This window comes from Homo sapiens, chromosome 22, assembly GCF_000001405.40.
Source record: "Homo sapiens chromosome 22, GRCh38.p14 Primary Assembly".
Taxonomy (NCBI): domain Eukaryota; kingdom Metazoa; phylum Chordata; class Mammalia; order Primates; family Hominidae; genus Homo; species Homo sapiens.
Window position 1 is genome coordinate 36411701 of NC_000022.11, and position 13374 is coordinate 36425074.

The 13374-nt window shown below is 49.7% G+C and overlaps 1 pseudogene, besides 2 other annotated features; it reads right to left on the reverse strand.

The window, feature by feature from the left end:
• Nucleotides 1307-1807: an enhancer, noted in NCBI's record as "H3K4me1 hESC enhancer chr22:36809052-36809552 (GRCh37/hg19 assembly coordinates)". NCBI's record gives its function as "activates a minimal SCP1, AML or CMV promoter by ChIP-STARR-seq in naive H9 embryonic stem cells {active_cell/tissue: H9 hESC(naive)}" and the evidence as "EXISTENCE:reporter gene assay evidence [ECO:0000049][PMID:30033119]".
• Nucleotides 5795-5844: a silencer, noted in NCBI's record as "silent region_13668". NCBI's record gives its function as "represses an Ori minimal core promoter by ATAC-STARR-seq in GM12878 lymphoblastoid cells {active_cell/tissue: GM12878}" and the evidence as "EXISTENCE:reporter gene assay evidence [ECO:0000049][PMID:35858748]".
• Nucleotides 9530-10028, reverse strand: RPS15AP38 (ribosomal protein S15a pseudogene 38; annotated as a pseudogene).

Sequence of the window (13374 nt, forward strand, 5' to 3'; positions counted from 1 at the left end):
GCTGGTTTCATCTCATCAGCTGTCTTCTGGATACGATATTGTTTGCCCTGCCTGCCACATAGGATTGTCATGAGTTGTAAATGACTTATGACACGTTTATAAACAGAAAAACATTACACCAATGTTAGTTAGTGGTATGGTGAGGCAGCCAGCACACTGGAAAAAGCATGACCTTGGCCCTGGCTGGGCCTTTTATTTACTGTGTGACCTTGGACGGATGATTTCACCTGCTGAATTGGTATTATGAGAATATATTCTTTTTTACCTAGCCTGGGCAACAAAGCAAGACCTTGTCTCTACCAAAAAATTTTTTAAAAATTAGCTGGGCATGGTGGCATGCACCTGTAGTCCCAGCTACTTGGGAGGCTGAGGTGGGAGGATCGCTTGAGCCTGGGAGTTGGAGGCTGCAGTGAGCTATAATCACACCCCTGCACACCAGTCTGAGTGAGAGTGAGACCTTGTCTCAAAATACATATATATATACACACACGCACACACACATCACATATATACATACATATATATATTCTTTTTAGAGATATAGAATTTAAATTGAAATGTAATACATTATTTAAAACATAATAAGTAATAAAAAGGCTGGGCACAGTGGCTCACACCTGTAATCCCAGCACTTTGGGAGGCCGAGGTGGGCGGATCACAAGGTCAGAAGATCGAGACCATCTTGGCCAACAGGGTGAAACCCCGTCTCTACTAAAAATACAAAAATTAGTCGGGCATGGTGGTGTGTACCTGTAGTCCCAACTACTCGGGAGGCTGAGGCAGGGGAATCGCTTGAACCCGGGAAGTGGAGGTTGCAGTGAGTTGAGATCGTGCCACCACACTCCAGCCTGGCGACAGAGGAAGACTCCATCTCAAAAAAAAAAGTAATAAAAATATATAATCTGAAATTATTTTTCAGCCGGGCATGGTGGCTTATGCCTGTAATCCCAGCACTTTGGGAGGCCGAGGCGAGCGGATCACGAGGTCAGGAGTTCGAGACCAGCCTAACCAACATGGTGAAACCCCGTCTCTACTAAAAATACAAAAATTAGCTGGGCGTGGTGGTGTGCGCCTGTAATCTCAGCTACTTGGAAGGCCGAGGCGGGAGCATTGCTTGAACCCGGGAGGCGGAGGTTGTGGTGAGCTGAGATCGTGCCATTGCACTCCAGCCTGGGCAATAAGAGCGAAACTCTGTCTCAAAAGAAAAAAAAAAAAAAGAAATTATTTTTCAACTTCATAGGTCAAGGCCTCCTCCCCTGGGGTAAGGAGAAGCCCAAATGCAAAGTTTACCCTGTTGTCTACATGCTAGAATTTACCATGGAAAACCAGAGTCATGGTTTTTCCTAAGATCAATGGGGAAAATGTCCAAACCCTAACAAGGGTCACCTCTGAATGGAGTGGCCACTCATTGCTGTCAGCATTCTCAAAGCCGCTCTGAAGTCATGGTCTATGGAGGGAAATGACCTCGGTTTGGAAGCCCTCGGGCTGGAGTTCCCTCAGCATCAGAGGTATCCAGGGACGCTGGGTGAGTCACTCCTCCCCAGTGGACTTGCCCTTCAACCTTGATGAGGACGAACACCTCATTAAGGAGCAATAGCTCTCCCCTCACCTTAATGCCTTACATGGGGTTGGCGTAGCCCCGGGCCATCCTGCCAATCCACTGTGAGACTTCTCCAGCTGTCCTAGGATGCCTCTGGCCTTGGACAGCCTTCCTGTTCTTCCTCCTCTGGGGCCCACAGTCTGATCCTGACCCCCACCATTCTTCATTGCAGACTCTCATCCAGCTGGAGAAAGGAGGGGTGGGAGAATGCCAAGGCCCAAGCCCACTTTCTCTGCTGTGCCCACCATCACGTCTTCGCTGCGTGTGGCAAGTGCCCCTGCAGTACAGGGCTGCTGTACAAATCATTCATCAAGGCAGGCGAGAGAGAGACTGACATCTGGGGTATAGGCTTTTAACTACCTCATCCTGGAAGTGACATATGTCACTTTCACTGCCATATCATTAGCCAGACCTAGCCACAGGCCCACCCATGAAAGGATCTACAGGGGCCAGGCACAGTGCCTCATGCCTGTAATGCCAGCACTCTTGGAGGCAGAGGCTGGTGGATCACCTGAGGTCAGGAGTTCAAAACCAGCCTGGCCAACATGGCAAAAAACCATCTCTACTAAATATACAAAAATCAGCCGGGGTGGTTGCAGGCGCCTGTAGTCCCAGCTACTTGGGAGGCTGAGGCAGGAGAATCGCTTGAACCCGGGAGGCAGAGGTTGCAGTGAGCCGAGATCTCGCCATTCCACTCCAGCCTGGTGACAGAGTGAGACTCTGTCTCAAAAAAAAAAAAAAAAAAAAAGCTGAGCGCAGTGGCTCACGCCTGTAATCCCAGCACTTGGGGAGGCCGAGGCAGGCGGATCACGAGGTCAGGAGATCGAGACTATCCTGGCTAACACAGTGAAACCCCATCTCTACTAAAAATACAAAAAATTAGCCGGGTATGGTGGCGGGCACCTGTAGTCCCAGCTACTACTTGGGAGGCTGAGGCAGGAGAATGGCATGAACCTGGGAGGCGGAGCTTGCAGTGAGCCAAGATCATGCCACTGCACTCCAGCCTGGGCGACAGAGCAAGACTCCTCCTCAAAAAAAGAAAAAAAAGAAAGGATACAGGGCAGGGCTGGGCATTTCGTGAGCACTGTGGTCTGCTTGTCTCAATTGAGATCTTTTTTTTTTTTTCGAGATGGAGTTTCGCTCTGTCGCCCAGGCTGGAGTGCAGTGACTTGATCTCAGCTCACTGCAACCTCCACCTCCTTAGTTAAGTGATCCTCTTGTCTCAGCCTCCTAAGTAGCTGGGATTACAGGCAAGTACCACCATGCCCGGTGAATTTTTTTTATTTTTAATAGAGACAGGGTTTTGCCATGATAGCCATGGTTGGTCTCAAACTTGTGACCTCAAGTGATCCACCTGCCTCGGCCTCCCAAAGTGCTGGGATTACAGGCCACTGCACCCGGCCAACAGTCGGGATCTTTCTGCTCAGCCTTTCAGCCAACATTGATTGACTCCAGAATTAGAGGCCATTAGAGTGGGAAGGACCTTGGGAACCATCTCAGCCAGTGAACTCCAAAATTAAAATCACATCAGGCTGGGCACTGTGGCTTATGCCTGTAATGCCAGCACTTTGGGAGGCCGAGGTGGGCAGATCACCTGAGGTCAGGAGTTCGAGACCAGCCTGGCCAACATGGTGAAACCCCGTCTCTACTAAAAATACAAAAAATTAGCCAGGCATGGTGGCAGGCGCCTGTAATCCCAGCTACTCGGGAGGCTGAGGCAGGATAATCGCTTGAGTCCAGGAAGCAGAGGTTGCAGTGAGCCGAGATCGCACCACTGCACTCCAGCTTGGGCAACGGAGTGATCATCTTAAAAAAAAAAAGAAAAGAAGAAAAACACAACAACAAACAATCAGAATCCTCTGGGGTTGTTGTCAAAAATGCAGAGTCCTTGGTCCTACCCCAGACCAGCTGAATCAAAATGTCTAGGATGGGACCAGAGAATTTACTTTTTTTTTTTTTTTTTCGTAGAGGAGAGGTCTCACTATGTTGCCGAGGCTGGTCTTGAACTCCTAGGCTTGAGGGATCCTCCTGCATGGGCCTCCCAGAGTGCTAGGATTACAGATGTGAGCCACCACACCTGGCTGAATTTACATTTTTAAAAGCTCACCAGGCGATTTTAGCAACAGCTTGGTTTGGGACCCAGTGATAGAGTCAAACTCTCTTTTACAGATGAGAAAACCAAAGCTCAGAAAGGGTCAGTGACTTCCTCAAGGCCACGAAGAGAGTAAATGATAGAGCTTGGATCACAATCCCAGCTTCCTGGCCAGGGCTCATAACACCTGTAGCTGTCACCTGTTGCCTCTGCCCACCCAGTGTCATACCCGTCTCCTGACAACAGCATGTCCCCTTTCCCTTTGGGGAGTCACCAGCCTCCCATACTCAACTCCCATGAGTCAAGCTGGGCCGATCCTTTTTCTCAAGTCTGGAGTGGGCACATGACTTCGGCCTAACCAATCAGGATCCCAGGAGTATGTTCCAGGATGGTCTTGCGATCAAGTCCAGAGATGGAAGTAGCCCCAGGCTATTTGCTGGAACAAGTTAGAGAAAGAAGCTCTCTTTCTTTCTTTTTTTCTTTTCTTTTTTTTCTTTCTTTTTTTTTTTTTTTTTTTTTTTTTGAGACAGAGTTTCACTCTTGTTGCCCAGGCTGGAGTGCAATCGTGCGATCTCTGCTCACTGCAACCTCCGCCTCCTGGGTTCAAGCGATTCTCTTGCCTCAGCTTCCTGAGTAGCCGGGTTTACAGGCATGCACCACCACGCCTGGCTAATTTTGTATTTTTAGTAGAGACAGGGTTTCTCCATGTTGGTGAGGCTGGTCTCAAGCTCCTGACCTTAGGTGATCCATCCTCCTCGGCCTCCCAAAGTGCTAGGACTATAGGTGTGAACCACCACACCCGGTCTTTTTTCTTTTCTTTTCTTTTCTTTTCTTTTGTTTTCTTTTCTTTTCTTTTTTTTTTTTTTGATACAGAGTCTCACACTGTTGCCTGGGCTGGAGTGCAGTGGTGCGATCTTGGCTCACTGCAACCTGCGCCTCCCAGGTTCAAGCGATTCTCCTGCCTCAGCCTCCCGAGTAGCTGGGACTACAGGTGCCCGCCACCACGCCTGGCTAGTTTTTGTATTTTTAGTAGAGATGTGGTTTCACTATGTTGGCCAGGCCGGTCTTGAACTCCTGACCTCATGATTTGCTCACCTCGGCCTCCCAAAGTGCTGGGATTACAGATGTGAGCCACTGTGCCTGGCCAAGATTTCTTTTTTTTCTTTTGAGATGGAGCCTTGCTCTATCACCCAGGCTGGAGTGCAATGGCACGATCTCAGCCTCACTGCAACCTCTGCCTCCTGGGTTCGAGCAATTCTTCCACCTCAGGCTCCCGAGTAGCTGGGATTACAGGCACCCACCATCATGCCCGGCTAATTTTTGTATTTTTGTAGAGATGGGGTTTCACCATGTTGGCCAGGCTGGTCTTGAACTCCTCACCTGGTCTTGAACAGGTGATCCACCCGCCTCGGCTTCCCAAAGTACTGGGATTACAGGAGTGAGCCACCTCGCCTGGCCAGATGCTCTCTTTCCCCTAAGGTTGCTAATTGGCCTGATGTGAACCTGGATGGAGCAGCTGGTGGTCTTTGCCGTCATGTTGGGAGAAACTGCCTGAAAATAAATCCTGCACAGAGGAGAGCAGGGCTGAGGGACAGAGTCCTGACAGTATCATCTGGACTCCTGCACCCAGCTCCACCTGGACTTTTATTTATTATTATTATTTATTGCCAACCAATAAATTCCCTTTCAGTTCCCCCATGTTGGGGTTCTGCCCTTGCAACATCAAACAGCTGGGGACAGAGTGCCAGGATTCAGAGCAGCACTGGTCAGACACCAAGTGTCCATTGAGGGGCTGCGGGGAAAAGTTGAGTGCAAAATGCTGATTCTGCCTTTCACAAGCCAGGGACACAGGCAGCAAGGGGTGCCTAGGACACTGTTCTAGAGCAGCATCGTAGACATCCAGGCTCTCATTTGATCTCGTCCCCAAAAAATAAGCAGAGGAAGCATAATCATCTCGGAATGATGAGGAATCCATGGCTCAGAGAGATGAGGTCACTTGCCCAAGGCCACACAGGAAGTGGCAGAGCTGAGGTTTAGCCCAGGTGTTTTCAAGTCTCAGCCAGGGCGCTTGGTGTTCCTTTGGCCACTCCCCATGGGGCTGAGTTCTGCCTGGAATCACAGCCAATATCTGCTGAGTGCCTGCCATGTGCCGGGAACCACGTAAGCACTTTACATGTTTTTTTCTTTGTTTGAGACAGAGTCTCACTCTGTTGCCCAGGCCGGAGTACAATGGCACGATCTCGGCTCACTGCTACCTCTGCCTCCTGGATTCAAGCAGTTCTGCTGTCTCAGCCTCCCCAGTAACTGGAATTACAGGCACCCACCACCACGCCCGACTCATTTTTGTATTTTTAGTAGCGGCAGGGTTTCACCATGTTGGCCAGGCTGGTCTCAAACTCCTGACCTCAGGTGATCTGCCCGCTTCAGCCTCCCAAATTGCTGGGATTTCAGGCATGACCACCGCACCTGGCCACTTTACCTGTTTTATTTTCTAATTTTAATTAATTAATTTTTTTTTTGAGACAGTGTCTCACTCTGTCACTCAGGCTGGAGTACAGTGTCATGATCAAGACTCACTGCAGCCTTGGCCTCCCAGGCTCAGGTGATCCTCCCACCTCAGCCTCCCGAGTAGCTGGGACCATGGGTGTGCACCACCATGCCCACTAATTTTTGTATTTCTTGTAGAGATGGGGTTTTGCCATGTTGCCCAGGCTGGTACTTTTATTTTATTTTATTTATTTATTTATTTTTGAGAAGGAGTCTCTCTCTGTCACCAGGCTGGAGTGCAGTGGCGCGATCTCGGCTCACTGCAACCTCTGCCTCCCGGGTTCAAGCGATTCTCCTGCCTCAGCCTCCCGATTAGCTGGTACTACAGGCGCCTGCCACCACGTCTGGCTAATTTTTGTATTTTTAGTAGAGACGGGGTTTCACCGTGTTGGCCAGGCTGGTCTCAATCTCTTGACCTTGTGATCCACCCGCCTCAGCCTCCCAAAGTGCTGGGATTACAGGCGTGAGCCACCGCGCCCGGCCTGGTACTTTTATTTTTTAATAGCGACTGGGGGCCGGGCGCGGTGGCTCACGCCTGTAATCCCAGCACTTTGGGAGGCTGAGGCAGGTGGATCACGAGGTCAGGAGATGGAGACCATCCTGGCCAACACGGTGAAACCCCGTCTCTACTAAAAATACAAAAAAAATTAGCCGGGCGTGGTGGCAGGCACCTGTAGTCCCAGCTATTCGGGAGGCTGAGGCAGGAGAATGGCGTGAACCGGGAGGCGGAGATCGCGCCACTGCACACCAGCCTGGGCGACAGAGTGAGACTCCATCTCAAAAAAAAAAAAAAAAAATAGCGACTGGGTGTCACTATGTTGCCTACATTGGTCTCAAACTCCTCGGTCTCCCAAAGCGCTGGGATTGATGTAGGAGGTGGGACTCGACTCTGGAGGTGGGGCTCACACATTGAACCAAATCAAGGACTAGCTAGGCTGGGCGCTGTGGCTCAAGCCTGTAATCCCAGCACTTTGGGAGGCTGAGGCGGGTGGATCACGAGGTCAGGAGTTCGAGACCAGCCTGGCCAACCTGGTGAACCATCATCTCTACTGAAAATAAAAAAATTAGCCAGGCATGGTGACGGGTGCCTGTAGTCCCAGCCTCTCGGGAGGCTGAGGCAGGAGAATAGCTTGAACTCGGGAGGCAGAGGTTGCAGTGAGCCGAGACCATACCACTGCACTTCAGCCTGGGTGACAGAGCGAGACTCTCTCTCAAAAAAAAAAAAAAAAAAAAAAAGAGAAAAAGAAAAGGAAGAACAGAAGAACAGAAGAGAAAGGGCACCCCACACACATCCATTCCTCTCTTCCTCCGTTAAACCGGAGCCAGGGGCTGGGGCTGGGTGTGTGTGCTCCTGCCTTCCCAGGCTCTTGCTTGTTTTCAAAGGACCAGAGAAATGTCTGGAGGACTGCTGCTTCAGTCCACGTGACCAGGATGAAAGTCATTAACAAAAGGCCAATGTTTGGGGAAGAGCCTTTGCCCTCCTTTCAGGGCCTCAGCTGGGGCTCAGGGAGATAAGGCGGGAGCAAAAATAAAACTGAAAATGTGTTTACTCTGAGATGAAAGTGCATTGCTAAACGCTAGCCGCGAGGACTTGTATACAAAAACCACATGTCTGGGGGTGTTCTGGAATGTCACAAACTGCAATGGCAAGAAAAGGCAGCAGGCAGGACCAGGACTCTGCTCCGTGGGAGCCCCCTCTGGTGCCCTGGCTCTGTCACCTCCTAGGGTCTGTGATCTCTCAAACCGGACCTCAGACAGCCTGAGCAGCCCACCCAGCCACGTGAGCCACCGTGCCCAGCCTGATTTCTTTCTTTCTTTTGTTTTCTTTCACTTTTTAAACAGAGACCAGCAGGCCAGGTGCGGTGCCTCACGCCTATAATCCCAGCACTTTGGGAGGCTGAGGCAGGTGGATCACCTGAGGTCAGGAGTTTGAGACTAGCCTGGCCAAGATGGTGAAACCCCATCTCTACTAAAAATACAAAAAATTAGCTGGGCGTGGTGGCGGGTGCCTGTAGTCCCAGCCACTCGGGAGGCTGAGCCGAGATCGCACCACTGCACTCCAGCCTGGGAGACAGAATGAGACTCCGCCTCAAAAAAAAAAAAAAAAATTAGCCTGGCGTGGTGGTGGGTGCCTATAATCCCAGCTACTCGAGAGTCTGGGGCAGGAGAATTGCTTGAACCCGGGAGGCAAAGGTTGCAGTGAGCTGAGATAGCGTCATTGCACTCCAGCCTGGGCAACAGAGCGATACTCCGTCTCAAAAAAAAAAAAAAAAAAAGCCATGAGTGAGTTACTCTTGCGAGCAGCCCTCTCGAGCTGGAGTTTGACTCCTGGAAGATGGGATGCCACTGTGACTGAGCAAACATAGGAATAGCTGTTCCACTAAAGTCTCACAAAGCCACTGGCCGGAGGAATTTCTCTAGGGACTCCCAGGAGCAGCTGAGGAAACATGAAGGAGTGGACATTCCCAGAAGCCAAAGAAAAGTCGTTTGGTTACAGAGACTGGTGTCTGTGTTCTTCTAGAAAACATGGGCTCTGCTGAGATCAGGGAAGACTCTGACAGGAGCCACCAGGCAGAATCCTCCAGACAGACTAGAATGAGTACAAAGGAGAACAGAACAGCTGTTGCTGGGCGTTTGGACTGAACAGACCTTTCTCACGTGTTGTTTTTATTTATTTATTTGGAGAGAGTCTTGCTCTGTTGCCCAGGCTATAGTGCAGTGGTGAGAACTTGGTTCACTGCAACTTCCACCTCCTGAGTTCAAGCTATTCTCCTGCCTCAGCTTCCTGAGTAGCTGGAATTACAGGAGTGAGCTACCATACCTGGCTAATTTTTGTATTTTTAGCAGAGACGGGGTTTCAGCATGTTGGCCAGGCAGGTCTCAAGCTCCTGGCCTCAAGGGATCCACCCGCCTCGGCCTCCCAAAGTGCTGGAATTATAGGCATGAGCCACCACACCCAGCCTGTTATTATTTTTTAATTTGAGATAAAACAGAAGCCATGTACCTTTGAATTATTCTAACCAAAAGTCTCCTGTTGGGACTTACACAGAACCACTAACTGTCAAGTGTCTGCTGGAAGCCTCAGTTTCCTCATGTGTAAAGTGGGGAAAATAATAGTGCCTGCCTCCTAGGACTTAAAGTTGTTTGTGAGAAATGCTTAGTGCTGGGCATGGTGGCTCATGCCTCTAATGCCAGGGCTTTGGGAGGCCAAGGTGGGAGGATTGCTTGAGACCAGGATTCTGAGACCAGCCTGAGAAACATAATGAGACCCTATCTCTACAGATTTTTTTTCCATGAGGCATTTTATTTGTAAATATGTGTATTACATCCCTAGAAAAAGAATCCCAGGATTTTCCCTCCTGTGTGGTTTTGTCTTGCTTCTTCATGGTCCATGATGCCAGCTGAGGTTGTCAGTACAATGAAACCAAACTGGCGGGATGGAAGCAGATTATTCTGCCATTTTTCTAGATCTTTGAGTTGCACATCAAATCTGGGGCTGATCACTCCACACTTGTTGAGCCTGCCTGTGACAGTCACAACAATTTTCCCAGCTCTGTGACCATCAATGATTTCAAATTCGCCAGTGTAATCATGCTTTATCATCACAGTGAGAAATCGGACGATGACTTTGGAGCATGGCCTAATAAGCACCTGGCGTTTGCCTCTCTTTTTGGCATTGTTGATGCTCTTGAGGGCATCAGCCAGGGGCCAGGCGCAGTGGCTCACGCCTGTAATCCCAGCACTTTGGGAGGCCGAGGCAGGCGGATCACAAGGTCAAGAGATAGCGACCATCCTGGCTAACACAGTGAAACCGCGTCTCTACTAAAAATACAAAAAATTAGCTGGGCGTGGTGGCAGGTGCCTGTAGTCCCAGCTACTCAGGAGGCTGAGGCAGGAGAATGGTGTGAACCCAGGAGGCGGAGTTTGCAGTGAGCTGAGATCGTGCCACTGCACTCCAGCCTGGGCGACAGAGCGAGATTCCATCTAAAAAAAAAAAAATTAAAAAATAATAATAATAATAATAATTTTTTTTCCTCCAAAAAGCACTTTGCAGAGAACCTCAGCAAGGCTGAAAAAAATAAAAATAAAATAAAAATAGGCCGGGCGCAGTGGCTCACGCCTGTAATCCCAGCACTTTGGGGGGCCAAGGTGGGCGGATCACCTGAGGTTGGGAGTTCAAGACCAGCCTGACCAACATGGAGAAACCCCTTCTCTTCTAAAAATACAAAATTAGCCAGGTGTGGTGGCTCATGCCTGTAATCCCAGCTACTTGAGAGGCTGAGGCAGGAGAATCGCTTGAACCTGGGAGGCGGAGGTTGCAGTGAGCCGAGATCGTGCCACTGCACTCCAGCCTGGGCAACAAGAGCAAAACTCTGTCTCAAAAAATAAATAGATAAATAAATAATAAAAAATAAAAAAGTGCTGGACACCCAGACTGCAGACCTAGTTTCTGGCTTCTACTCTTGATTCTTTTCTTAACTCGCTGGCAAGCCTGAGGCAAATCCCTTGTCACCTCTAGGATTCTACTAGCACGTCTGCGAAATGGGTGTTGTTGCCTTACGACATAGGTTTTCAAACATGTATGTTTCACAGTGAAACCCTTTGTGCAAAAAAAAAATCTTAGGCTAGAAGCCGGCACTGTTAGGACTCCAGTATTTTGAACCCTGGTGGGACTTACATCTGCCAGCACCGGTGACACTTTGCTGAAGGGCTCGACTCGAGCTCAGGAGGCTGCAAGTGCTGAGGACGTAATGCCCTTTGGGAGCAGCTCTCAACTTAGCCTGTGCTCGCTCAACGCTTGGGCAAATAACTGGGAGGTCCCGTTCACTAGGTAGATAGCTCCTGCTTCCCTTCTCTGTCTCACTCACCCACTCCCTTATCTAAGTTGCCTGGGATCACAGTCCAAATCAACCACATGTACTCAAATTTTTGTCTCTGATCTGCTTCTGCTTCAAACCAAGTTAGGATCCCCAAATGCAAAACAAGTACCAGCTATGGTCCCAGGAGGCAGGCGGGTCAGTGAGGGCTGAGCTGTGCAAGGCGGGTCAGTGAGGGCTGAGCTGTGCAGGGGCCTTCCCCAGGGGTGGGCCTGCACATGGGCCTTGAGCAATAGATTACTTTATTATTTATTTGTTTATTTATTTTTATTTATTTATTTATTGAGATGGAGTTTTGCTCTTGTTGCCCAGGCTGAAGTGCAATGCTGCGATCTTGGCTCACTGCAACCTCCACCTCCCGGAGTCAGACAATTCTCCTGCCTCAGTCTCCCAAGTAGGTGGGATTACAGGCGTGTGCCAGCACACTCAGCTAATTTTGTATTTTTAGTAGAGACAAGGTTTCACCATGTTGGTCATGGCTGGTCTTGAACTCCTGACCTCAGGTGATCCACCCGCCTCGGCCTCCCAAAGTGCTGGGATTACAGCCGTAAGCCACAGTGTCTGGCCTCAATAGGATACTTTAACAAGGAAAGGATTGACCAAAACATGGTTAGGTTGGGCGAGTAGGGTGGGGAAGGAAGGGACTAAACAGAAAAGCCCAACTAGAGAGGGAAGCTCATGAGCTGAGACACCCGGTGGTGGGACCCTGACTTGACAGTGCTCTGTCCCATCCTCCATGGTGACCAGGTTGCTCAGTTGCAGTGCTCTCCATATCTTCCCTTTTCACCCAAGACTATGTTCCTCTTTTGACCAAGAAAGTAGCCCAAAAGGGATTGTGGTCACTTTCTTATCAGGCCTGTGGTGGAGGCAGAGGATACACGTCAGGCCTTTCCCAGGCCCACGGCCCCAAGCAACTCCTCCAAGGATGACATCCCGGCTCTGCCAGGGCCACTGCAGGACACCTTCCAAACTCTGAGCCGGACGAGGGAAGGAGCTCCATGCAGTGTCCTGCGATTCAGGCCCGATGCACAGTGGGCAGCCTGTTCCTAGGGAGTGGGCACTGGGAAGGGAGTCCAGCTGCTGACTTACGGCATGGCCTCACCCAAGAGTCTTTATCCTGAACTTCTTCAGAATTTCCTCCTGAATTTCTTCAACAACATCCACACATCAAGATCATGGGACAGGATATGTGAAAGAGCTTCATGAACCACAAACCATAAACAATCGTGCAATTCAGCTGCAAGTTATTATTCCAAAGGCTTCTGGGGGGCAAAGCCCTGTCCTTATTCCACATTGTGTCCCAGAGCCTGGCACAGGGCCTGATGAATGGCAGGAGCTCAGGCTTTGCTTGTTGAATGAATGAATGAATGAGGGAATGAATGACAGAGTGGATATGTCATCCAGTTTGACAATTCAATCCAACCAACTATCGCTGAGGGCCTACTATGTGCAGGAGCTGGGCTGGGCACTGAGGAAAATCACAAATAACAGATGGGGTTTTTTTTTTTTTTTTTTTGAGACGGAGTTTCACTCTTGTTGCCCAGGCTGGAGTGCAGTGACGCGATCTTGGCTCACCGCAACCTCCGCCTCCTGGGTTCAAGTGATTCTCCTGCCTCAGCCTCCCCAGTAGCTGGGATTACAGGCTCCTACCACCATCCCTGGATAATTTTTGTATTTTTAGTAGAGATGAGGTTTCTCCATGTTGGCCAGGCTGGTCTTGAACTCCTGACCTCAGGTGATCCACCCGCCTCAGCCTCCCAAAGTGCTGGGATACAGGTGTGAGTCATCGTGCCCTGCTTAAATTTCAGTTTCTTTAAGCCAACTGAGTCAAGTTTCTGTCATTTGCAAAAGATAAAGTCCTGATTAACACACTTAAGTTTACGGATGTAATTCAGTAACACCCCTTCTCAGGGATGCCTACCCTGAACACCACGTGGCTCCTCCCTGCTCCAGCACTCTCTCCTCCTACCATTTGGTTTTATCCTCTGCTTGTTGTTCCTTAGCATCTTGCGTGTGAATTGTGCCACTCCAATAAGATTTGAGGCACTGTTTAAAAACTTTGTTTTTGGCCATGTGCAGTGGTTCACGCCTGTAAACTCAGCGCATTGGGAGGCCAAAGTAGCAGGATCCCTTCAACCCAGGAGTTTGATACCAGCCTGGGCAACATGGCGAGACCCTGTCTCTACAAAAATAATAATAATAAAAAAAAATTAGCTGGGTATGGTGGAGCACGCCTGTGGTCCCAGCTATTCAGGAAG